The following is a 25,328-nucleotide window of genomic DNA, read 5'->3' on the forward strand; positions in this document are numbered from 1 at the left end:
ATAATAATTTTATATATTTATGGGGTACAATGTGATGCTTTGATATATGTAGACATTGTGAAATGATTAAATGGAGCTAATTAACATATTCTTCACCTTGCCTACTTATCACTTTTTTATGGTGAAGATGATTGAACTCTATTAGCAATTTTGAAGTGCATATTGCATTATTATTAACTACAGTCTCCATGCTATGCAATAGATCACTAAAACTTCATCCTTCTGTTTAACTACAACTTTGTATCCTTTGACTAACATCTCCCCTTTCTCCATACTGTAACCCCCCTGCCGCCCCTAACTTCTGCCAACCACCATCCTACTCTCTGCTTCTATGAGCTCCACTTTTTTAGGTTCCACACGTAAGTGAGATAATGCAATGTTTGTCTTTCTGTGCCTGGGAAAACAAGATCTTGAAGAAATCTTTTGTACACCCATATTCATAACAACATTAGTTACAATAGCCAAAAGGTTGAAGGTACCCAAATATCCAACAGATGAACGGATAAACAAAATGTGGTATATACAAACAAAGAACTATTATTCTGTCTTAAAAAGGAAGGAAATTCTGACACATCCTACAACGTGAATGAAACTTGAAGATAGGCTAAGTGAAATAAGCCAGTCACAAAAGGACAAATACTGTATGATTCCACTTACATAAGGTATCTAGAGTAGTCAAACTCACAGAAATAAATAGAATGATGGTTGCCATGCTGACGGAAATTGGGAAATGGAGAATCATTTAATGGATACAGAGTTACTGTTTCTGCAAGAAGAAAAAGTTCTGAGGATTGGTTATACAATGTGAATGTACTTAGCTCTAGTAACTGTACCCCTAAAAGTGTTATGACAATCAGCTTTGGGTGATCTGCTCTGAGCCAAGCCTAAGGAAAGCACCTCTCATTACCTTTGTGGGTAGAATGCATTTCAGGAAGTGAAGAGTTAATGTGAGGAAAGGGTCAAGTAGTACAGGTGAAATCTATCCAATCTTAGTTGGAAAATACTTTTTAGAATTAAATTCATCTAAGGACCAATAACAGGTATGACTGTCAACTGACTGTGACAGAACAGTTGTTGCTAAGGTCTATTTCTGATTTAGGCCACGGAATATGTCCCAGTACTATGAAATTCTGAAAATTCTACCTCAAAATTCAATTTTAACTCAAAGATTAGTTGTTAAACACTGAATAAAGTGGAATCCTAGAAAGAACTTGGAAAAGATGGCTCTGCTAGTGAGATAGTCATATATGCATTATGTTTATACTCAAAATCCAGGCTGACATCTAATCAAACCCTTGCAAATTCAGGCAGAAATTACTTACGCAATTATAGGATAGTGATAGGAGGGTTAATTGGATAACAGATAATTGGCTTTTGAGTTGAACCAAATTGCAAGACTGAAAAACGAGATGCCTCAAAATATATTTTAAAATCCTCAGAGAATGTTTTAAGTTTGAACGTTAAAAGAAAATAACTGAAGTGGAAAGAGTGCATGGATTGATTACCTAACCTATTTCTGTACCTTAGGCATCTTGGATACATGAATATTTGCTGAGTAAAGGACACAGCCAAGTTGAGAAGTGGAACAAGCAGAGCAATCACCATTGTGATTTATGTATTGATTCTATGCTATGAAATTTGAAAGAGGAAAGAATATACAATTCAATAATTTTTAATATTTTGCTTTAGGACTAAAAACTACTTTTCCTATAAGATCGGTACTTATAGTTTAACTTATTGGTGTTTCCAAAGTAGAGAAAATATAAGTGAGGAAAAATCAACTACAGTCCCTATGCCGAACAGCAAATAAAACAGACTTATTTAGTTACCATTGTCTGAGGGATTTGGGGATCCTTATTTCTGACCTCATATAATTTGTGGTTAACATTTTAAAAATACGTGAACCTAGGCCAGGCACAGTGGATCATGCCTGTAATCCCAGTACTTTGGGAGGCTGAGGCCGGTAAATCACTTGAGGTCAGGAGTTCAAGACCAGCCTGGGCAACATGGTGAAACCCCATTTCTACTAAAAATGCAAAAATTGGCAGGGTGCGGTAGCAGGCGCCTCTAGTTCCAGCTACTCGGGAGGGTGAGGCAGGAGAATCTCTTGAACCCAGGAAGTGGAGTTGTACCTTGCAGTGAGCCGAGTTGTACCTTGCAGTGAGCCGAGATCATGCCACCGCACTCCAGCCTGGGCAACAGAGCGAGACTCCATTTCAAAAACAAAACAAAACAACACAACAACAACAAAAATACATGAACCTTGAATTTTTACCCATACAAACATTTTAATGTTCATGTTCAAATGCACACAAATGCTGAGGGAAAAGGTTTTTTGTTTTTTCTTTTTTTTTTTTTTTGAAATGGAATCTCGCTCTGTTGTTCAGGCTGGAGTGCAGTGGCATGATCTCGGCTCACTGCAACCTCCGCCTCCTGGGTTCAAGTGATTCTCCTGCCTTAGCCTCCCAAGTAGCTGGGATTACAGGCACACACCACCAAGCCCGGCTAATTTTTTTGTATTTTAGTAGAGACAGGGTTTCACTGTGTTGCCCAGGCTGGTCTTGAACTCCTGAGCTCAGCCAATCCACCCGCCTCGGCCTCCCAAAATGCTAGGATTACAGGCGTGAGCCACCACGCCCAGTCCTGAGGAAAAGGTTTTTGACACTATGTGTATTTAATGTATGTTAGGAGATAGTTTCATTTTAGAAAGTTAGATGCATTTTCCTTTAATAGTGTACTGCTCAATGTGTAGCTGCCACAGGATGTAAAATATAGGCCTGGAGTGTGGAGTATAGGAACAGCGTGGAACTTAGCTACAGAATTTATGCAAACTCACTGGAATACATTAAAAGGCTGCTATAATATATCCACAAAGACCCAGATGCACCTCTGGTACTCTGAGAAAAGTGTTGCCAAGGCTGCGGGAGATGGCCATGACAGAAAAGGACCTTGACATCTTCCATCAGGCAGATCCTGGTGTATTGCTAATATTAATTGTATTGCAGGCATCGAATTAACAAGTGTTACCAATAACTATTAAAAGTAATACAACAGGGGCCGGGCACGGTGGTTCTTGCCTGTAATCCCAACGTTTTGGGAAGGCAACGTGGGAGGATCATTTGAAGCCAAGAGTTTGAGACCAGCCAGGGCAACAAAGTGAGACTCTGTCCCTACAAAAAATAAAAATACAAAAATTAGCTGGGCATAGTGGCATGCACCTGTAGTCCTAGCTACTCAGGGGGCTGAGGCAGGGGGATCACTTGAGCCCAGGAGTTCAAGGCTGCAGTGAGCTATGATGGTGCCACTGCATTCTAGCCTGGGCAACAGAGTGAAACACTGTCTCTAAAAAAAAAAAAAAAAGTAAATAAACAGACAAATCAGTAAATAAATAAAAATCATAAAATATACAATATGTATGTTGGTTATTTCAACCACAAACCTCATGTTTATTGATTAAAAGTAAGACTACTAGTACACTGTTACATCAAAAGTCAAGTGACAGAAGACAAAGTAGCTATTTTTGTAAAAAAGCTAGGTTGGGCGTGGTGGCTCACACCTGTAATCCCAGCACTTTGGGAGGCCGAGGCAGACAGATCATTTGTGGTCAGCAGTTCAAGACCAGCCTGGCCAACATGGCGAAACCTCGTCTCTACTAAAAATACAAAAATTAGCTGGGCGTGCTAGTGGGCACCTGTTATCACAGCTACTCAGGAGGCTGAGGCAGGAGAATTGCTTGAACCCAGGAGGCAGAGGTTGCGTTGAGTGGAGATGGCGCCACTGTACTCCAGCCTGGGCGACAGAGTGAAACTCCATCTCAAAAAGAAAAAAAAAAAAACTCATGTGTGCACAATGTAATCCTGCTTTATGGCAGATGGAAAAAGAAGCAATTATGATAGGTTTGGTAGGCTCTCACAGTGCTGGTCTATTTTTAAAAATTGAATTAGTTGCCAACATTTAATACAGCTAAAATGATTTTTTTTTTTTAAGACAGGGTCTCATTCATTCACCTAGGCTGGAGTGCAGTAGCGCCATCTTAGCTCACTGCAGCCTCGAACTCCTGGGCTCAAGTGATCCTCCTGCCTCAGCCTCCCGAGTAGCTGGGTAGCTGGGACTAAAGATGTATGCCACCACACCCAGCTAATTTTTGCATATTTTTTGCAGAGACAGGGCTTCACCATGTTGCCCAGGCTGGTCTCAAACTTGTGAGCTCAAGTCATCCTCCCGCCTTGGCCTCCTAAAGTGCTGGGATTACAGGCACCAGCCCACATGCCCAGCTGTAAATTATTTTATTAAAACATGGGAGTCTCATCCATTTAAGGTTACCTACCTGGGCTCCTGTAGTATTTGAGCTGATGATCCCTACTTGATGGGAAGAAAAATCATGCATAATCCCTTCCAGAAGAAACTGGAAGGTTTTGGAAGAATATGTTGGCCTTGATATCCCTTAGATTGTTTTCATTGACATCAGTACTCTTATCGGATAAAGAAACCATTATTAACCAATGGTAAACTAAGGGATTTAATTTCAGGAATAATTTTAGAAGACACAGGCTTACTGGCGTAAATATATCTGGTCAGGTGTGTGTGACCATTGACTCTGACAGTTTATAGAATGTTTGAGGTCACAGATATAAGACTTAAATGGGACACGCTGTTCCACGTTGTTGCCAAATGTTACATTTTAAAAGCAAAATCCAATACCATTTTAAAAAGTTGATTTTTTTTTTTTTTTTTTTTGAGACAGAGTCTCACTCTGTCACCCAGGCTGGAGTGCAGTGGTGCGATCTTGGCTCACTGCAAGCTCCGCCTGCTGGGTTCACGCCGTTCTCCCGTCTCAGCCTCCTGAGTAGATGGGACTACATGCGCCCGCCACCACACCTGGCTAATTATTGTATTTTTAGTAGAGATGGGGTTTCACCGTGTTAACCAAGATGGTCTTGATCTCCTGACCTCGTGATCCGCCCGCCTCGGCCTCCCAAAGTGCTGGGATTACAGGCGTGAGCCACTGCTCCCAGCCAAAAAGTTGACTTTCTAAAGCATTAGGTTGTGTTAAAATTCAGCAGAGGGTTGAACTCACTTTAGAAGAGATATATGATAGCACTGAAGAAAATACATTTTGATTAGTAATGATTATCTAACACAGATCTGTTAGTATTAAAATACTTATAAATTGTAAAGGCCCAACTGTTCTGCAAGACTGGATACATAGGCCTTTTCTCTCCTGAATATATAGTAGGGAGCAGGGAGGAATTGAGAGATCTGGTCATCCAAACCTGCAAGAAGGATTATTCATGGATGCATTTGGAGTGTATGCTTCTTGAGAGCCACCACTTGTCCAGAAATATCTGTGTAACACAACTGCTAAATTATGAGTTCTGCTGCCAGGCAATACTCTTTTTCAGCTAGATTTGCTTTTCCTGCTCTTTTAAACAGGTGTATAGGTGGAAATGCCATATGTACAGAATTTTTTAATGATGTGACACCTGCAAAGTTTATACAAAAATGTGGAAAGAAAATTCTACAACTCAAGCTGATGTCATTGCTTAGAGCCCAGACCACCAGAACACATCAACCAGGCCAAGCAAAAGCACTATCAGCATGGAGGCCCCCTTTGTGCGGCTGCCCAAACACTGACAAGATGTAGTGGACTCCATACAGCAGGAGTGCCCTAGCATTGTGGACTTAGTTCCTGAGCAAGACTCCAAATTGCACCACGTTCTTCTGAGCTCTGGGGCCTGCGGACATGCTCTTCCTCTGCCCAACATGCTTGCTCCCTCTCTCCTCTTTTCTCTGACTACTTCCTATTCATCCTTGAGGTCTCAGCTTAAATATTACTCCTCTGGGAACCCACTTTGATCTTCCAGACTGGGTTAGGTGCCCCTTGTTTGTGTCCCCACAATTCCCCTGGACTTCCCCTTGAAAGCAGTGATCACACTGAATTGTGTTCCCTTGTTTACTTGTCCATATCCTCTCATAGCATCCGTGCTTCATGAGGCCAGGTACCAGGTCTGCTTTGCTCACATCTGTATTCCTGCTGTGGAGTAAGTTGCTCAGAAGATGTTGGTTGTGTGGTTGAACCTGTCTGCTTCACAGCTCACTCACATACTCTTAGTTGGCTTCTCAGCTGTGGGACTGGCTCATGGTTGTGGGCAGGGCTTAGTAGTTGGCCAACAATGGCCTTGATGCATAAAAGAGTTTCCCAAGAGGCAGAAATTCTTGGGTTACATGAACATGAAGTTTTGCATGCAGCCTGGAACATCTCAAAAACCTGACTGGAAAGAATAAAAAGGGAAAGGAGAATGTGTGTGTGGATGGAGGAGGAAACTTGGAAATATCTCTCCAAGACAAGGTGAAGGTGATAACATTTTGACCAGAAATCAAGAATCAGAGACCAGAGGTCAGAGAATCTAAAAGGATAATGGAAGTATTTCTTGGAGGAACGAACTTCACAGTGGAACCACAAAGTCACCAGAACTCTGTGTGTGGGTTCTCAGACTGAGCATGAAGTCTGAGAGGGGTACAGAATTAGTAGGACTCAATACATGTTTATATCAATTGGGTTCCATTCTGTTCCTGAACTCGGGCAGCTTCTTTCAGCTAGCAAAGCCATGGCTGATCTTGGGTTAGACAGGAAGAGAGTCTTACCCAAGATAAAGAGTCAGCAGACATCAGGGAGGGCTATAGGCTGATACACTGGAAGGATCTAAGATGCAAGGGTGAGAAAAACACCAAGAACTGACACCAGAATCCAGCCTTGCCTTTACAGCTTGGAAGCTGGCCAGAACCCAGCTGGTTAGAAGAAAGCACAGGCTCTCTAACCGTCCTATGTGGTTTTGTTTTTGTTTTTGTTTTTGTTTTGATACAGAGTCATGCTCTGTTGCCCAGGCTGGAGTGCAATGGCGTGATCTCGGCTCACTACAACCTCCGCCTCCCAGGTTTAAGCGATTCTCCTGCCTCAGCCTCCCTGCCTCAGCCTCCGAGTAGCTGGGATTACAGGCATCCACTACCACACCCGGCTAATTTATCTATTTGTAGTAGAGACGAGGTTTCACCATGTTGCCCAGGCTGGTCTCGAACTCTTGGCCTCAAATGATCCACCCACCTCAGCCTCCCAAAGTGCTGGGATTATAGGTATGAGCCACCGTGCTCAGCCCACCTCCTGTTCTTAAGGAGCTCTGTTTTTTCTCTACCAGGAAACAGTGTAGCTATCAGAGCTTTCCATGGTCCTCAGCATAGAGGACTTACTATGGCCCATAAAGTCTGTCGTACCAGCCTTATCTTTTACCATGAGCAGCTAGGCAATTACAATGAAGGAATGGCCTCAATCCGAAACGGACTGTGTTTTCTGATATCAGAAGGATATGGAGAAGGAGAATAACCCCCACCTGATTCTTAAAAACAACAACAACAACGAAACCCTGAAAGTTCCATGTGGCAAAACAGGAATGATCTCTCTCCAAGGGTAAGTGGCAAGAACCCCCTTTCTCTATCACTGGCATCTGTTTAGGCCCTTCTTGCCTCTTCTGGGCCTGGGCTCCCCAGAACCCCAGCCCTGCTCAGTCTGAGCAGGGAAGGCTGAGCTATTTCTGGGGCTCAGCAACTCTGAGCCCCACCTGTCCCCTTGACCCAGGGAGGCTCTCATACTAAATGGGTAGGACAGACTCCAGGTGTGGGCCCACCCTCCCTTACACGGGTTGCAGCCTGAGGTTGGTCAGACAGGGAAGTTACCTCCTCGGCCCTCACTGGCAGCTGGCTTCACTTGGATCGGACGATTCATCTGAAAGACATCGGACCAACACACCCATTCAGCGTGACTGCCTGGTCCTGGAGCCCCCAGCTTCTCGAACCCTGGACTCCTCAGGATCTGAGCCCTAGCCCCTTTGAACTCTGCACTCTACCACTTCCAAACTGGGATTACAGATTTTCTCCAAGATTCCTTCCTTAAACCCAGGAATTTAGAAGGTGCTGAAACTGGCAGGGATGGGTGACAGGAACTTAGTGGCAAGCACAAGGTGGAATGAAGCGGCTAAAGAGACTTTTCTGCCTGGGGCTCTGGGCAGGGGCTATGTGAGGCCTGTCCCTTTGGCTTCTGGACTTACTTAAAGGCTTTGCATGAGAGGATTGGGAAGGAGGGTAGAATTGATACTGCAGATTTGTGTTTTATGTCTAAAATGGAGAATATCACGCTATGTGTCATTTAGATGAGAGTCTGGGAATCAGACTCAGTGCTATCTGCCCTCAACTCTAGTCATTTAATGGTTGTATGACTTTAAGTAAGCCACCTTTTCTCAGATTCAATTTTTCTTTTTCTCCTGTGTAGCTGAAATTACAGGCACGTGCCACCAGGCCCGGCTGATTTTTGTATTTTTAGTAGAGACAGGGTTTCTCCATGTTGGCTAAGTTATTCTTGAACTCCTGACCTCAAATGATTCACCCGCCTCAGCCTCCCAAAGTGCTGGGATTACAGGCGTGAGCCACTGCGCCCGGCCAGATTCAATTTTTCAAATGAGGAAAACATTTCCCAAGCTGCTGTATCACTAGAGTCTCCACGCTCACCTGCTCCATCCCCTCCCTAGGGTCCCCTTCCCTGAGGATGCTGGAGTTTTCCAAGGTGCCGTTCTCAGCCCTTTTTGTCTGGCTCTTCCTACTTTTCTTGGATAGTCTCATCCACACTCAGCCTCAGCTCCTCTCCACACAGGGATGACTTAGAGCTCTGTGTCTCCAGCCTGCATTCTCCTCTGAGCTTCAGAGCCATGTTACCAGCTGCCTGCTGGACATCCCCACTAGAAAGTCCCACGGGCGCCTTCACTCAACACACCCAAACGAGAGCTCATTTGTTTTTTTTTTTTTTTGCCCCAACCTGATCCTCCCAGTCACCCAAGCTATAAGCCTGGAAAGCAGCTTGACTTCTCCTTCCATCCCTTCCCCGCTCCCACCAACTTCATCTTTTAATTCAGGGGTTCCTGAGGAAGTGTAGATAAAAATCACCCAGGAACCAGATGAGGCTCTTAAGTTGGGGTATTGCATAATTTGAAAACGCTCCTAGGTGATTTCAATATATCGCCCCCACATCCCCATCCCCCAACCACCCTGAGTGAATTCATGATTGAATCCCCATCTCACCTTCCTCTCATGGGTGTTGTGGGGATCACATGAGGTAATGGGGACGCAAAAGGTCTTTGTAAACTGCCAAGAGCTGGGTGCGTGGGAGGTGAGGAATTATTGTTGGGGGGCAGGCAGCTGAGTGCCAGGAGGGAAAAACAGCGGCCTTCCCGTTCATGGAGGAAGGGGTACTGATGCCCATCTGGCCTGAGAAGGTGATGATCTGACCCCCTCCCCTCAGGAAATGCTCTGCTTCTGCACCAATCAGGGGCCACTCCATCCCTTACCAATTTGCTCGTTGCCGAGACAACAGGCAGCTTCCTGTTACCATAGCCACAAGTGCTACCCAGTAACCATGGTAACGCCCTGGCAGTCACAGTTGAGCAATTTCCTTTGGATCAAATTTGGGGGTGGGAGGGGCAGGGAGGGCTTACTAAAAAAAAAAAAAAAAAAGGAAAAGAGAACAGGCCAAGTCTGAACCAGCGCAACTCCCCTCCCACCCAGGGCTCTGACACACCCACCCGCTGGTGGTGGAGCACCTGCAGTGTACCAGGCTGTGGGTGGGGGCGGAGACACCAACAGGACTCAGGTTGCAGTCTAGAGGGGATGACAGATCAATCCAAGCAGATCAGGGCGAGCTTGACAGGTCTGGACTGGCCTGGACCAGGGACCAGGAGGACAGGACCCGTCCCTGGGCATGGCCACCTGTGATTGTGGAGGAAAGACCAAGAGACAGAGCCATGGAGAGCAGAGACACAGGGAGAGATGAAGAAACACTGGCAGACAGAAATGATGTGAGAGAAAGACAGTTCTAGAAAGGGGCAAGGAAAGAGAGTTACTGGTGGAGAGGGGAAGGAAATGAGGAGAGGAAGGGTAAGGAAGCGGGTGCAGGAGAGGCAGGGAGGAGCCTGGTAGGGAAGAAGGCCAAAAGAGTAGAAGCCTGGGGTGGGGGGCAGTGAGGGTGAGCAAGACCATCATTATTTTATTAGTTCTTAAATAGATCCTGAGAATTTCTCTCTGGAGCCTAGAGTGACGAGCACACGTGACAGCAGCAGTTTCCATGGCAGCTGCCTCCCTGGCTGGGTTTCCTGGGAGATGGTGCTCTGGGGGACGCCACCTTCTCTCCTCCCACCCACTTCCCCACCCTTCAACAGAGAGTGGGCATCGGGTGGTACATACATGTTCCCCCCTGGACCTGACCTAGGCCTCCCACCACCCAGGCATGCTGCCAGCATTTCCTGAACTCTGTGATGAGCCCCAGGCAGCCTTTCGTGGGAGACAGTGATGATCTGTATGGGGATCCTCTCTTCATAGGCTCGCAGAGGGGAAGATAATGTTACCATTTCCTGAGAGCCCACTCTGTGCCAGGCCCTTCCTGGGACACTTTACATACATTGTCTCTAAATCCTTCCAACCACTCTTCAAGGGAATACAAGTGTCCCCATATCATAGATGAGAAAGCTGAGGCTGAGGGAGGTGAAATCACTTGTCTAAGATCCCATGGTGGGTAAGTGGTTGAGCTGGGATTTACCCCCAGATCTGTCTGAGGCTGAAGCCCATGATTTTTGCACTGGAGTGCTGCTCAAATCCATTCTTAAGGCATGAACACAAATAGTGAGGCACAGAGGGACCAGGGCCTCGGGGGAGTGCAAGGTCAAGAGCTGTGGAAGAGGCAGACTCCAGCTGAAGAGGTTGACTGAGGAAAGCTGCATAGAAGAGGCAATGTTTGACCTGAGCCTTGCAGGACTGGGGTCATTGGCCATGTAGAGATAATAGGAGAGGTAGGAGTGGTGGCTGAGCACGCTGAATGGCTAGGGTACGGACAGGGAGCTGCAATGGCTAGGGTACGGACAGGGAGCTGCAAGCCTGAAGGAGCAAAGTTTCTAGTGAGCACTTGGCATGGGAGTAGCCATGGTAGAGCAAATTGCTTCCTAGCAGATAGATGTGGATTTCAATCCTGGCTCTACCACTTGCTTCTCTAAGGTCTCTGAGCCTCAATATCCACACTAGTGAAGAGGGAATCATGATCTTAACTTGCAGCGTTGTGATGAAAATGACAACTGCTAGATCTTAGTAGATACCTCAGATATAAAAAGTTATTGTTTTTTTTTGTTTGTTTGTTTTTTGAGTCAGAGTTTTGCTCTTGTTGCCCAGGCTGGAGTGCAATGGCGTAATCTCGCCTCACCGAAACCTCTGCCTCCCAATTCAAGCAAGTCTCCTGCCTCAGCCTCCCGAGTAGCTGGGATTACAGGCATGCGCCACCATGCCCGGCTAATTTTGTATTTTTAGTAAAGACGGGGTTTCTCCATGTTGGTCAGGTTGGTCTTGAACTCCCGACCTCAGGTGATCTGCCTGCCTCGGCCTCCCAAAGTGCTGGGATTACAGGTGTGAGCCACCGCACCTGGCCGGTTTTTGTTGTTGTTATTGTTGTTAAGGATATGAAACTGAAAGGTAGGCAAGGGCCAGATTAGGGAAGGCTGTGAAAACCGCATCAAGGAATTTTGACTTTTGACTTTGTTGTATTTCAAAGGCAATGAGGATCCAGGGGAGGGAAGGATTTTTAAATGTTTTTTTTTAAACATTTTTATTTATTTATTTATTTTGGAGACTGAGTCTCACTCTATCACCCAGGTTGGAGTGCAGTGGCGCGATCTCAGCTCACTGCAATCTCCGCCTCCCAGGTTCAAGCAATTCTCCTGCCTCTGCCTCCTGAGTAGCTGGGATTACAGACACCCACCACCATGCCCAGCTAATTTTTGTATTTTTAGTAGAGACGGTTTCACCATGTTGGCCAGACTGGTCTCAAACTCCTGACCTGTGGTCTTACTCTGCTACCCAGGCTGGAGTACAGTGGCGCCATCATAGCTCACTGCAAACTCCAAATCTTGGGCTAAGCGATTATTCTACTTCAGCCTCTCAAATAGCTAGGAATACAGGTACATGCCACCATGCCCAGCTAATTTTTAAATTTTTTGTAGAGACTGGGTCTCACTATGTTGCCCAGGATGGTCTCAAACTTCTGGGCTCAAGCGATCCTTGGACTTCATCCTTTCAAAGTGCTGGGATTACAGGTGTGAGCCGCTATGCCCAGACAGGAAAGGGTTTTAAGTAGAGGAATCATCTAGTCAGTTTTGTCTTATGAAGGATCCCATAAGCTGTCACTATGTGGAGAAAGGATTGGAAAAGGAGTGATTAGAGGCAAGAAGATCAGTGGCACAGGTGAGAGGTGAATGTGACCTGGATAGAAAGAAATGAACAGATTTAACAGATGTGTAGGAAGAATTAACTGGGCTATAGTTCTATTGGATATGTGGACCCGGGAAGAGGAGGGCATATTGGCTGAGCCTCAGGTTCATCGCTTGGGAGTTGGGGAAGGTGGGAGTTTGGGAGTTTGGGGGTACAAGGAAGTCCCCAGGGGAGGAACCCAAGAGAGTAAGAACAGAGTTGGGGAGAGCAGGGCTCTGAGCCTTCAGTCCCCACAGAGCAGTGGTGATGGAGGACACCTGGGATTTAGGCATGTTATGTGTGGCTGGAGGAGAAAGAGAGCTGCCCCCATGAGCTTCCTGGGCAACCTATTATATATATCTTGTTCCTGCCATGGGCAGAGGAGGGACATGGCAGTGGGATAATCAGGACGTAATCAGGAGTCCCCCTTGAGGAAAAGAGGACATTGCCTCCCAGGCCAAAAACTTGTCCTGGGACTTCAGGTGAGCTCTTGCCCTGGCTGAGCACCTGTTCCCTTAAGAATTTCCCAGGTGGAGTCCAGGCCCATGTCTGCTTCAGAGCCCAGCCCTGGAGGGGAATTCAAGGGATAGAATGTCAGAGAGAACAACCTATTCCAGGCAATGGAGTGGGAAAGGTCAGAGGCCGCACAGACACGCACAGGGCCCTGGACCTTCTGCCCCAGTGAGCAGAAGGGAGAGCAAAACCCTACCTAACTCTCTGCCCTGATTTGTCTAAAATTCCTCCCTTTGGGCTCAGCATTGCCCTTTTCAGATTCTTCTGCCCTGATGCCAACTATTCTTTTCACTGAGCACTCACACCCTCAGCACTCCCCATTCCATGGGAAGAGTTTATCAGAACCTTCTTGAGGAAGGGAACACTGGTAGGTCTGGGAAAGGTGTCAGGAGGTGCAGGGCAGAGTGGGACAGAAAAAAACCAAACTTTCTAATTTTTAGTACTTTGTTTTACCTCACCCCCCTCCTCTAATTCAACCCACTGTCAAGTCCCATTGGTTCTAGAATCTATATGGATATCCTAAACAGCTCTGAAATCTAACCTCTTATCTCCTTTCCTGGCCTATCTCCAGCTCTAGGCCAGCATCACCATTCATCCACACTCAAGCAACACTGCACTAAAGGGTCATCCAGCCTGCAGTGTTGCTTCCTTTCCAACCCAACCTTCTTCACACCATAGCCAGAGTAATCTTTTTTTTTTTTTTTTGAGACAGCGTCGACCTCCAGGGCTCAAGCAACCCTCCCACCTCAGCCTCCCAAGTAGCTGGGACTACAGGGGCACACCACCACACCTGGCTAATTTTTAAAAAACTTTTGTAGAGACGGGGTCTCACTATGTTGTCCAGGCTGGTCTCAAACTTCTGGGCTCAGCGATCCTCCAGTCTCAGCCTCCCAAAGTGCTGGGATTACAGGCATGAGCCACTATGTCTGGCCCAGAGTAATCTTTTGAACCTAGTCTCTTACTCTTCTCTGCTTAAAATCCACCTCTGTTCCCCCATTGCAAGCCTCCTGTTAAAGCCCAAGATTCTAAGACTAGCTGTCAAAACTTGTGAGTCTTTCTTCCACTGCTGCCCAACATGCACGATTCTCTCTACTCATGTGGAGCCTTAGCTATCTTTGCTAGACACCTTCCCTGCCAGTGTTCACACTGTCCCCAAATTTTCTTGTCTTTTAGGTTTCTAGATCCTCAAATATGATAAAATATGATCATGATTCAGCTCAGATAACATCTCTGCAAAGCATCTACTCCCTCCCCATTTCTTTTTATTCTTTTCTTTATTCCTTTATTTATTTATTTATTTTTATTTTGTATTTTTGTATTTTTAGTAGAGACGGGGTTTCACCATGTTGGCCAGGCTGGTCTCAAACTCCTGACCTCAAGTGATCCGCCCGCCTCAGCCTCCCAAAGCGCTGGGATTACAAGTGTGAACCACCGCACCCGGCCTTTTCCTTTACGGTTTGACTCTGGGACTCCCTCCCCAATTCTGGTCTCTCTTTTACTTGCCCAGATGTATGCCTGAGTGAGATGCAATGAGGCTCACCTTTTTTCTTTTTTTTTTTTTTTGAGACAGAGTCTCGCTCTGTCACCCAGGCTGGAGTGCAGCGATGCGATCTTGGCTCACTGCAAGCTCCGCCTCCCAGGTTCACGCCTTTCTCCTGCCTCAGCCTCCCGAGTAGCTGGGACTACAGGCGCTCGCCATCACGCCCTGCTAATTTTTTGTATTTTTAGTAGAGACGGGGTTTCACTGTGTTAGCCAGGATGGTCTCAATCTCCTGACCTCGTGATCCGCCCGCCTCAGCCTCCCAAAGTGCTGGGATTACAGGCGTGAGCCACTGCACCCGGCCAATGAGACTCATTTTTAAGAAGCATCTTGAGGGCAAAGACTCAGACTCATTCATGAAGTGGTTGCTAGCACATACAGTGCCTTTCTGTAAATTATAAAAAGGCACTCCCCAACCCTGGGATGAATGAGAAAAAATGTGCCCTTTCCTCTGGGCTGACAAAGCCTTGAAATAATGTGCATGACTTAGTCAATAGAGCATGGCTGGATTTTTGCCCCCATCTGCCCTCTCTACCCAAGCTGTTTTGTGCAGGGCACAACTTGCAAAAGCAAATGTACTCCCCTACTCAGTAACATCTGCCTTCTTCACAGCGTTTGAAGGGATGGCTTCCCAAAGAAAGGGAAGTCAGGAACAGGGAGATAAACAAATAGGGAGGCACCTTATGCATCTCGTAAGTGGGGCTGAGGCTAGGCCTCACCCTCTTCAGGTGGATTCTGGAGCATAAAGTGAGGCTAAAAGAAGGAATTCTGGCTTCATCAGGAAGAGGCTGCAGGAGGTGGGAGCCAGGTGGGACAGACCAACCAAGGTTTGAAGGAGTTCTCGAATAGGGAGGCAAGCTTTCATAGGGGACAGAAATTGGCAGGGGACAAATGGAGAGGAGCCAAGCAAAAGAAGGTCTTAGTCAATCAGAATCCATGAAATTCTTGGCCAGGAGTGGTGGCTCACGCCTGTAATCCTAGCACTTTGAGAGGCTGAAGCGGGCAGATCACTTGAAGTCAGGAGTTCAAAACCAGCCTGACCAACATGGTGAAACCCTGTCTCTACTAAAAATACAAAAAAATTAGCTTGGCGCGGTGATGGGTGCCTGTAATCCCAGCTACTTGGGAGGCTGAGGCAGGAGAATCACTTGAACCCTGGAGGTGGAGGTTGCAGTGAGCTGAGATGGCACCACTGCACTCCAGCCTGGGTGACAGAATGAGGCTGTGTCTCAAAAAAACACAAAAAACAAAAAACAAACCATGAAATTCCCCCTAGGGTTTCAGACTTTTCTCTCTGGGGGCTGACCTAGCCTTTTCTGGTCCCATGGTGACAGTCCTGCCTGATGCCAGCAGGAATTCAGATTAAAGTCTTGTCCCTGCTTCTCCAGCAGGTGGCAGCTGTGCTCAGGACCCAATGGCAGCAGAGAGCTGGGCACTCCTCCTCCATGCTGGTGGGCCTAAGGCCAGGCGACTAAAGTTGCTGCTGTCCCTGGCAGGCCCAGAGGAAAGATTGATGGCACAGGCATTGCTGGGGCTGGCCAACACAGCCATTGATTTTCATTTAGGAGAATAATTAAATATTAATTTTCACTTTGTTAAGCTGGAGAGGGTGAATAAAGCCAATCCTGACAGTATCAGAGGAAGCCAGGCCATGTTGGAGACCTGCAGATGAAACAGTGAGAGGGGGAAGATGTCCCCAGTCACCATTCTCTCTAGAACCTAAGACCCCTGTCTGCTACCTGGTTGTCTCAGGTCACAGTACAGTGGTTAAGTGAATGAGTTCTAGGGCCAGATTAGCTGGGCCCAAAGTCCAGATCTTCCCATTATTAACTATATGACCTTGGGCAAGTCACTTGATTCTTATGACTTAGTTTTCTCACCTGTAAAATGGGAATGCCAATAACAATACCTTATTTAGGCCTGGTGCGGTGGCTCATGCCTGTAATCCCAGCATTTTGGGAAGCCAAGGTGGGTGGATCACTTGAGGCCAGAAGTTCAAGACTAGCCTGGCCAACATGGTGAAACCTCATCTCTACTAAAATTACAAAAATTAGTTGGGCAGAGCCCTGTGTCTTGTGGAGGAGAGATTTTTTTCCTCCCAAAGTTTATCTTAATTTTTTTGGGGGGGACCTCCCATTTCCTTTCAGGGTAAAGCCTGGCATTCAAAGTTTCATCTTCAACTGCTGCCCTCTGTAGATCTTCCCTCCAGCTTCCCTCCATGCTCACGTGGGCCTCCCCCACAGTGCCAGCCGCATTTCACACCCACCTGTTCCTTCTGTGTCTGCACCTTTACCATGCTGTTTCCCACATGGAATGTTACAGCTTGTCTCATTGACTCTCAGTTCTAGAAGCAGAAGTCATTTGCTCCCATGATTAGATGAATGATGAGTTCTACTCCTACTCCTACTAATGCTGCTGTTACTATTACTGTTACTATCACTACTACCACCAGCTAACTCATATCGAGTGCTTATTTTCTGCCAAGAACAGCATTGAGTACTTTAGTTCACTTAATGACTTAGCTCATTTAACCACGACAACAACCCTATGAGTTTAACTTTACAGGTGAGGAAACTTAGGCTTAGCAGTAAAGACTTGCCCAAAGTCACAAAGCTAGTGAGTGGTGGGCCTGGATCCACACCCAGGTCTCTCTGACTCAGGAGCTTGCATACAGAGGACCAGTGATGGTGACAAATTGGTGTTACTTGGCACTTAGTCCCCAAAAGTGAGGCTAAAGGTGCTTCAGTTACTGTGCTTGGTTCTAGGAGCTGTCACCCCATTAACAGCTTGATTAGCTCTTGGCGAAGCTTGCTCCATTGCTTGGTAGCTCCAATTCAGAGAAGTGACTTCTTTATACTGAGCTGAAATCAGTGCCTATTTCTTATTATATTAACTGATCCGAATCTTGCCTTCTGGGATCACTCATAGAAAACCAAACCCCTCTTCTAGAATCTGAAGGTAGTTACCCCAACCCCAACAGTAGTACTTATTGAGATCTTACTCTGTGCCAGGCACTTGCTAAGCCTCAAGTAATCCTCACTACAGCCAAGCGAGCTAGGTGTTAGTATAACCCACTCCTCATATCTAAAGAGACTGAAGCTCAGGAGTCCAAGTAACGTGCCCAGAGACACAGAACTGATAAATGGCAGAGCTGGGATTCAAATCCAGGTCTGTGAGACTCAAAACCCAGTGTTTTTTTTTTTTTTTTTTTTTTTGAGACTGAGTCTCACTTTGTTGCCCAAGCTGGAGTGCAGTGGCATGATCTTGGCTCACTGCAACCTCTGCCTCCCAGGTTCAAGTGATTCTCTTGCCTCAGCCTTCCAAGTAGCTGGGACTACAGGCATCTGCCACCATGTCTAGCTAATTTTTGTATTTTTAGTAGAGACAGGGTTTCACCATGTTGGCCAGGCTGGTCTCGAACTCCTGACCTCAGGTGATCTGCCCGCCTTGTCCTCCCAAAGTGCTAGGATTACAGGCGTGAGCCACCGCACTCGGCCTCAAAAACCAGTATTTTTAATTATTAGCTTATGATGCCTCCCTATTAAAGTCCCTCTAAGCCCTATCTCCTCCAGTTAAATCATCCCAACTCTTCCAAACTATTATTCCAAATATATCTTGTGTCTTTACTTCATCCTCGTCTCTTTCTTGTAGACAAACGACTCTCTTAAATTTGAGAGGCCTAGAACTGGACATAGTCCCAAGTTTGGCCTGTGAATGGCATTTAAACAGTGCTCTGTTCTAGACACACCGCTTCTTGGACAAGAGAAAACAAGGCTGTATAGTATGACTTGCTCTTGGTAAACCCATGCTAGTTACTAACGATCACCCCTTTATTCTGCCATATGGTCAGTAGGTCCCACCTTGCCTTTTGTTGACTGATTATCCATTAGCCAAGACCAGACCAGGTACCATTGGTGCCTACAAGCCAAGCTGCCTGTAGAATCAGGTCTCCCCTAACTTTAGCCAAGTGTTTGCAGTGTGGAGGGAAGACAATCTTAGTGAGTCAAGGCACCAAAAATAACCATTACAGGAAAAGGACTAGAGAGAAGTTCCAGCAAGGACCTTAGGACTAGAGAAAATGGGCTACCAGTCCAGCAGAACCTCTACCCCATGTATCTGCATACATGCTCACACCAGTGACAAGAGACACCCAAAGCCATAATTTTACCAAGGTGAATAAATTCTAGCTTAGCCCTCAACACTGATGCCTCTCCTAAAAGATGGGTGGAACGCCTGGCCCAAGGATCTTGAGCCCCTTTTTTGAGCCAGAAGATTGGATGTAACAAAGAATTTGTTGCTGTTCAGGGTACAGGAAGCCCTCTCCTAGAAAGATGACTCTGCTTCTAGTTCTCGGTCCCAACCCAGCCCCCACATGCTGCTTTGGCATGCACACAGGGCACTGTCCCCAGCCTGAGGTGATTCCCACCCCCCAACCTGGAGGACTTACCCCTGGCAGGGTCTTCTGCTCGTGCAGTGCACTCTGGGCCTTGAGAGCAGAGTCCCGGGCGCAGTAGGTGAGGAAGGCACAGCCTGAGGAGGAAGAGGCTGGCTCAGGGGGTTTCCTGAAACCCCCAACTATTCTTCTTCGAAATACCCCACTAAGTTGACAAACTTAAGGCCACTCTCCTTTAAGCAAGGACTCTGCTTTCTGAGAAGCCCTCTCTGCCTCCCACCTCTGGAGGGAGGGGCTTCATGTGCCTGGGGACCAGTGTCCCAGGCTCTGGCTCCCTTTCATTTGCTCCTGGCATCCTGCCCAGAGAACATATGTGCCCACACCCAGTCACATGTGCATACAATCCCACATCTCCCCTCCCCACTCCAGTCACAAGTCCTGTTGGGGTTAAACCTCCCTAAGCAGCTTTATCATCATCTTTAACCCAGACTTCCCCTTCCTTTTTGGATTCAGACTCATGGAGTCTCCCAGGATCAGCCTCAATTCCTTCCCAACTCAGTTTCGGATGGGAGGAGGCAAAAGAGTAAAAGAAGGATTGGGAGCCAACCCCAGGAGCCCCCAGCTCTTGTCCATGTCTCCCTCCCCTAAGTTTGAAGCTGGGGAATGGATTGATTTGAGACTTAGAAGATGGGATTGGTTTAAGGGCTTCCCATAGGTGGGAGTTTCCAGGGACCCCCTAATCCTGTTCAAGGATCTTGATCTGTCAACCCTCCTAGGGCTTTGAGGTAGGGCCTCTTAAAGAGTTATTGTGCCTCAAATCTGGCTCCTCTAAAAGGGCCAGCATATATGGGTCAGCGAAGAGGTCTAGGTTGAGCCAAAGGGTCAAGTTTAGCCCTCTGTTTGTTCAGCCTCAGGACCTGTAGCCTGCTAGGAAGCACTGAAGCAGCACTCTCCTCCTTTCCAACAGCCACTGAGCACTCATTCATTCAGAAAATATTTATTGAACACTTACTTATTATGGTGGGGCATTTTGATGACCTTGGAGATAGAGTGGCAACAAGACACACATTCCCTGCCCTCATGGGGATTAGACAAATCATGAGGGACCCCTAAACAAGTCCAAAGGGTTGAGTAATGTCTCAAAGAAGGCACTGAGTCCTCGAGAACAAGAACACTGAGTCCTTAACAATCAGGTGATGAAAAGGACAGTGATTATTTCAGACAGAGGGAAAAGCATATATGAAGACTGAATCAAGAATTTGGTGTGTTGGGGAAATGGATAGGTTAGTGTGGCTGGAGGCTGGTGTATGGGGGCAGAGTGGCTAGTGAGATATGCAGGAATCAAGTCATATGTAGCCTTGTGGGCCTCAGTTGGATTTTGAACTTTTTCCTAAGAGCAATAGAGAGCCACTTTAAAGGGTTTTAAGCAGATCTGTGAGATGATAAGATCTGTTTTCAAAAGGAGCATTCTGAGTGTAGGAGGGAGAAGGACTGAAGGAGGAGAAAGTGGATATGGTGAGCCATTAGGAACTTGGGGCAGATTTCCACTTAGACCTCAGCAGATTAGAAAGGCAAATGGGAACATTTTTTTCTGGCCTCTTCTACAGGGCTGCCCCATTAAGATGGGTTTATTGCCGGACATTCATTGAGTTAAAGGGAACTTAGAGAACTGAGCAAAACTCTTATCACATCAACAGGGAAACTGAAGCCCAGAGAGTGGGTCAGTGGCAGGGCAGGATTTGGAATGTCTTAACTCCCAAGCTGGGGTTGTTTTCAAAGCACTGTGGCTGCCTGCCTCGGTACCCAGACATCAAAAGGAAAATGAGTCACTGTTTCTGGGGAGAGGATGAGGAAGATGTTGACTTGGAGACCCTCTACAATCATCTTGGAAGGCAACACTTGCCTTGGAGAGTTGTGATTTAGTTTGGAAATAAATCACCAAACACCTGATTCCACTTACATCCCTGCTCTGTGTTTTGCTACCAACCCATATCACCTGACGTCCAAACCGGGCAGGTTGCCTGTCTGAAAGGCTCAGGGGCCCAGTTGCTGCCTAAAGAAGCCCCATGTGGACTAGCCGGGATAGAGGGTGGAAGAATGAAGGGAAGAAAAGACAGAGAAGCATGGTTTGAGAGACAGATGAATGAAAATAACAGGCAGAATTAGAGCTAAATGAAAAGAGAGAGGATGAGGGAACAGTTCAGAGACTGATAGTGAGAAGAGTGAGATTTAAGGGTATTCTATACACTTCCCTTATTGTACGGATGGCCTACAAAGATTAGCTTTGTATGTACATCCTGAAATCAATGTCTAAAAATAAGAAAATGAGTTACTACAGAGGGATGGACAGACAGGCAGGTAGTGGGAGTGCATTAGAAGGACTCTAGATGGTGAGGTATTGTCCTTTCATACACCCATTAACACAATCCCAGCCCAAAGGGTGGAAGCTGTACTCCTAGCCAGATGGTCCTAGCTCTTCTATTGGCATTTTCTCGAAGTGCCTACATTAGTGTGCCAAGGAACCCTACGAGGCCTCCAAGTTGAAGAGGTGGCAGTCTGATTCCAGCTCTCAGTCCTTAGGAATGTACCTTTAGCTGTTACCCAAGGCCCACCACTCCTCTCTTAGGAAGATCATGGAGGATAGTTGGTGACTCTTTCCCAGCAAAAACTTGAAAGCACAGCATGGTGGTGGTGGTGGGGGAGGAGATAAGAGTGTTCCTTCTCAAATCATCTCCCCTTCTCCTGCCCATGTATGACATGTGACTCTGGCTCTCTTACTCCAGCCCTGCCTGGACAGACTTTTCTGCATGTAAACAAGCCTCCTCCCTCTCTCTACAGGAAGAAAGGGGTGTGGCCGAACAGGACCGTGTATCTCTCTAGAAAGGGCAGGGAGAAGATCTCCTTCTGTCTCTTCAGCCTGACTCACCCTGAGAATGGGCCTGGACTGGGACCAGCCTGTGAGGGGAGGGAAAGAAAGAGGCCATAAAGAGGACTGGGGAGGAGCAAAGAAGAGGCACAGGAGTGAGGGGATTAGAGAAGGAAAGAAGTGTGGATTTAGCTGAGAGAAATCCAAGAAGAAAGGGACACAGGGTGGCAGGAGTTCCCAGCTGAGGTCAGGGTTCTGAACTGAAATCAAAAGAGGTAGAGTGCATTGGGATTCTGGCGAAGGGCAGGAGAGATTGGGGCTGTTGTTGAACATGAGGGGGTGTCTGGAACTGAGAGCCTCCTGGGAATTGAATTGGATTTTGTGTTAGACAGGTCTGGGTTCTGAAGAAGGGGAGGGTTTGGGTCTGCGGTGTTTTAGGTTGGCAGTCTGAGAGTCAAAAGAAGGCTCTTGAGGGGGATGGCCGGACTAGGAGGCCAGAGGAGGGGTGCAAGTCCAAGATATGCATGTGGGTGGTTAGGCCTGAGTGAGGTGCCACCAGATGGAGGATTCAGGAGTGTTTGGGCTCAGGGTTTGGGAAATTGAGGGTATTCGAGATCTAGAAGGTGGAATAAGTTTTCAAATTCCAGAATTTTAGGTCTGATGGGAGAGGTGGTGGAAAGGTCCAATTGAAAGGCAGGGACTGCTGGGATGTGAGAGGTGGAGGCCAGGAATTTGGAGGTTAGAGTGGAGAACATGTTAGGGGACCACAGTGATAATCAGAGGGAGGATGTCAGAGAGAAAATTCTGTGATCTGGGAAGGGGGCTGGGCTGAGGTGGGGCTGATATTGGACTGGTGTTGGACTGGCTCTCGGCAGGGCTAGGGCTGGGGCTGGGCTGGGGTCGGGCCACACTCTAATCGGATTGGGGCTGGGCTGGGCTGGGCTGACCCCGCGCACCTTTGTGGAGGCCGGTGAGCCGGTCCTTCAGCACCGTCAGCTCGTAGATGCGGCCGAACTCCTCGAACAGCGGCTTGAGGTCCTGCTCGTCCAAGCCCCGCGGGATCTGCCCCACGAAGAGCTTGATGGCGTCGTGGTCCTTCATGGGTACGGCGGGACCGGGGTTTAGCCCGCTCATGCCGACGCCGCTGTCCGCGGTGCTGAAACCCAGGCGCGGGCCGGGGCCAGCGGGCTGCGCTGACCCTCCCGGCGCCGCGGCCATGTCCCCGCCCTGTCAGCCCTCCCGCCGGTCCCACTGGTCCCGCCTGTCCCGCCGTCCCCTCCCTGGACCGGTGGCGAGGGCCAGGGGGAGGGGGCGGAGCCCGGGCGGAGAGGGCGGGGGGCTGCCCAGGGGGCGGGGTCCGGGTGGAGGGGCGTAGAGGGGGTGGGGCGGGCAGGAAAGGGGCGGGGCCGGGGCGGGGCGGGCCCGGGCCGAGGTGGCGGCTGAACGCTGGGGTCTGGCTTGAGGTCCCCGTGCGGCTCTCTCTGGGCTCCCGCCCGAGCTCTCCCAGAGCCGAGCCCCGAGCCCCAGCCCCCGTGCTTGGTGACGTCAGGCAGCTGGCCGCCGAGTCTACGCAAATGATTTGCATAATGAGGAAGCAGCCGCCAATCAGAGTGGGAGTTGACTGGGCTCGCCGGGGGCGGGGGGGGCGGCTGGGCTCACGCGCTCCTGCTCGCCATGGCAACCGGACCCTCGAATGCCCTGTGTGTGTCGAGTGTGTGCGGGCGTGGCCGTGGATCGCGCGTGTGCGCCTTGGGCCGCGTGAGGGGAAGCAGCTTCGTCATGCGTGATGGTGTCTGCCGGAGTCGGGGCTAATCCCCACCGCACACACAGGCACACACAGGCAAACGCAGGCACACGCAGGCACACACACCTCCAAACGCTGGTGCGTTTCCTGCGGGGGTGGATGGGGATTCCTCTTCTCTATTCCCACTATCGAGCCAGTCCCTCGGAGCCAATCCCACCCCGCCCCATCACACATCTCTGTCTTCGGTGTCTTTAACCACTTTCTTACCCCTGAGCCTCAGACACATTCGTCTCCCTTGCAGCCTTAAAAAGAAAGGAAGAATAAAATAAAAACCCCTTAAACACTCCTTGAACACGGATTCCTCCTTAGGAGAGTGAGGGAACTTAGCCGTATTTACTCAGAACCCATTATGCACCAGGTGCCCAGTTCATCCCAGTTCTGTGAACTCAGGAGTGTTCTCTTTTTCCGGAAAAGGAAGCTGAGGTTCTGAGGGTCGAGGATGTTAGGGCCAGGCCCACCCCAACATTTGTTGGGCCCAGCGCAAAATAAGAAATGGAAATCGACATACTGTGCATCTAAACATTTAAAAGATACAAATCAAATTACAATTTGTTAAATATGTTCCCCTCTTATTTTCACAAATACAGGTTCAGAATTACGAAAATGAAAGACATATGTACAGCTACGCTTTCTATATGACTGAAAGTTGGCAAAATATCAGAGCTGATGGAATTTTATTACTCCTGCACATGTCTAGGTATTCTCTTGATGGATCAGTGATGTTTGCACAAAGTAGTAATACAATGTTTGGACAAAGACACATACTTCATAAATTATATATTTATTCCATAATATATTTTTCATGCCTCTTTCAGTAAAATTGCTAATTATTTTAATAGAGATTTCCTTTTTTTTTTTTTGATAGGTTATCATTCTGTCACCCAGGCTGTAGTGCAGTGGTGCGATCTAAGATCACTGCAGCCTCAACCTCCTGGGTTCAAGCGATCCTCCCACCTAAGCCTCCCAAGTAGCTGGGATGACAGGTGCACGCTACCATGCCTGGATAATTTTTTTTCTTTTTTTTTTTTTGTAGAGATGGTGGTTTCACCATTCTGCCCAGGCTTGTCTAGAACACTCCTGAGCTCAAGTGATCCACCCACCTCGGTGCCCCAGAGTGCTGGGATTACAGGAGTGTGCCACTGCACCTGGCCTAATAGAGATTTTAACATAACTTGTGTCCATTGACTATTCTAAGAAACTGCTGGAGACCAGCAGTAGCAACTGGAATCATCAAAAAGTTCTTAAAACAATATTCAATTCAGAAGCAAATCATGATTTTTAAATGATTTATTTTTCTGGCTGAGCATGGTGACTCACACCTGTAATCCCAGCACTTTGGGAGGCCAAGGCGGGCAGATCACTTGAGGTCAGGAGTTCAAGACCAGCCTGGCCAACATGACAATATCCCGTCTCTACTAAAAATACAAAAATTAGCCAGGCATGGTGGCGGGCTCCTCCTACTCTGGAGGCTGAAGCAGGAGAATCGTTTGAACCCACGAGGTGGAGGTTGCAATGAGCCAAGATCGTGTCACTGCACTCCAGCCTGGGTGACAGAGTGAGATTCCATCTCAAAAAAAAAAAAAAAATGCAGCAGCAAATTATGATTTTCAAAAATCATTTTTCTGGCGGGATGCGGTGGCTCACACCAGTAATCCCAGCACTTCAGGAGGCCGAGGTGGGTGGATTGCTTGAGATCAGGAGTTTGAGACCAGCCTGGCCAATATGGCAAAACCCCATTTTTACTAAATGAATAAATAAATAAAATAAATTATTTTTCTCCTTTAACAGAAAGTTACTCCTTGTAATAAGTTGACCACGAAATGGGTTACTGGAATTTCATTTTCATTCAGTCCTATGTAGTTTTTTTTTTTTTTTTTTTTTTGAG

The 25,328-nt window shown here is 47.4% G+C and overlaps 1 protein-coding gene across 3 annotated transcripts in view, besides 2 other annotated features; it reads right to left on the reverse strand.

Moving 5' to 3' along the window:
- CELF6 (CUGBP Elav-like family member 6) overlaps nt 1-23,140 on the reverse strand; it is a 35,431-nt gene extending 12,291 nt beyond the window's left edge. For 2 of the 3 annotated variants that reach the window (NM_001172684.2, NM_052840.5), the window contains exons 1-3: nt 22,596-23,140; nt 18,828-18,910; nt 7,729-7,777 (exon numbers count right to left, since the gene is read on the reverse strand). In NM_001172684.2, coding sequence (NP_001166155.1) covers nt 7,729-7,777; nt 18,828-18,910; nt 22,596-22,857 — 394 coding nt within the window. In that variant the 5' untranslated portion in view covers nt 22,858-23,140. Of the gene's footprint in view, nt 1-7,728; nt 7,778-9,123; nt 9,328-18,827; nt 18,911-22,595 lie in introns of those variants that run through there. The other variant, NM_001172685.2, reaches the window with a different exon arrangement.
- Nucleotides 22,827-23,166: a silencer, noted in NCBI's record as "silent region_6621". NCBI's record gives its function as "represses an Ori minimal core promoter by ATAC-STARR-seq in GM12878 lymphoblastoid cells {active_cell/tissue: GM12878}" and the evidence as "EXISTENCE:reporter gene assay evidence [ECO:0000049][PMID:35858748]".
- Nucleotides 23,227-23,276: a silencer, noted in NCBI's record as "silent region_6622". NCBI's record gives its function as "represses an Ori minimal core promoter by ATAC-STARR-seq in GM12878 lymphoblastoid cells {active_cell/tissue: GM12878}" and the evidence as "EXISTENCE:reporter gene assay evidence [ECO:0000049][PMID:35858748]".

The sequence above is a fragment of the Homo sapiens genome, chromosome 15 (genome assembly GCF_000001405.40).
Source record: "Homo sapiens chromosome 15, GRCh38.p14 Primary Assembly".
Classification (NCBI taxonomy): domain Eukaryota; kingdom Metazoa; phylum Chordata; class Mammalia; order Primates; family Hominidae; genus Homo; species Homo sapiens.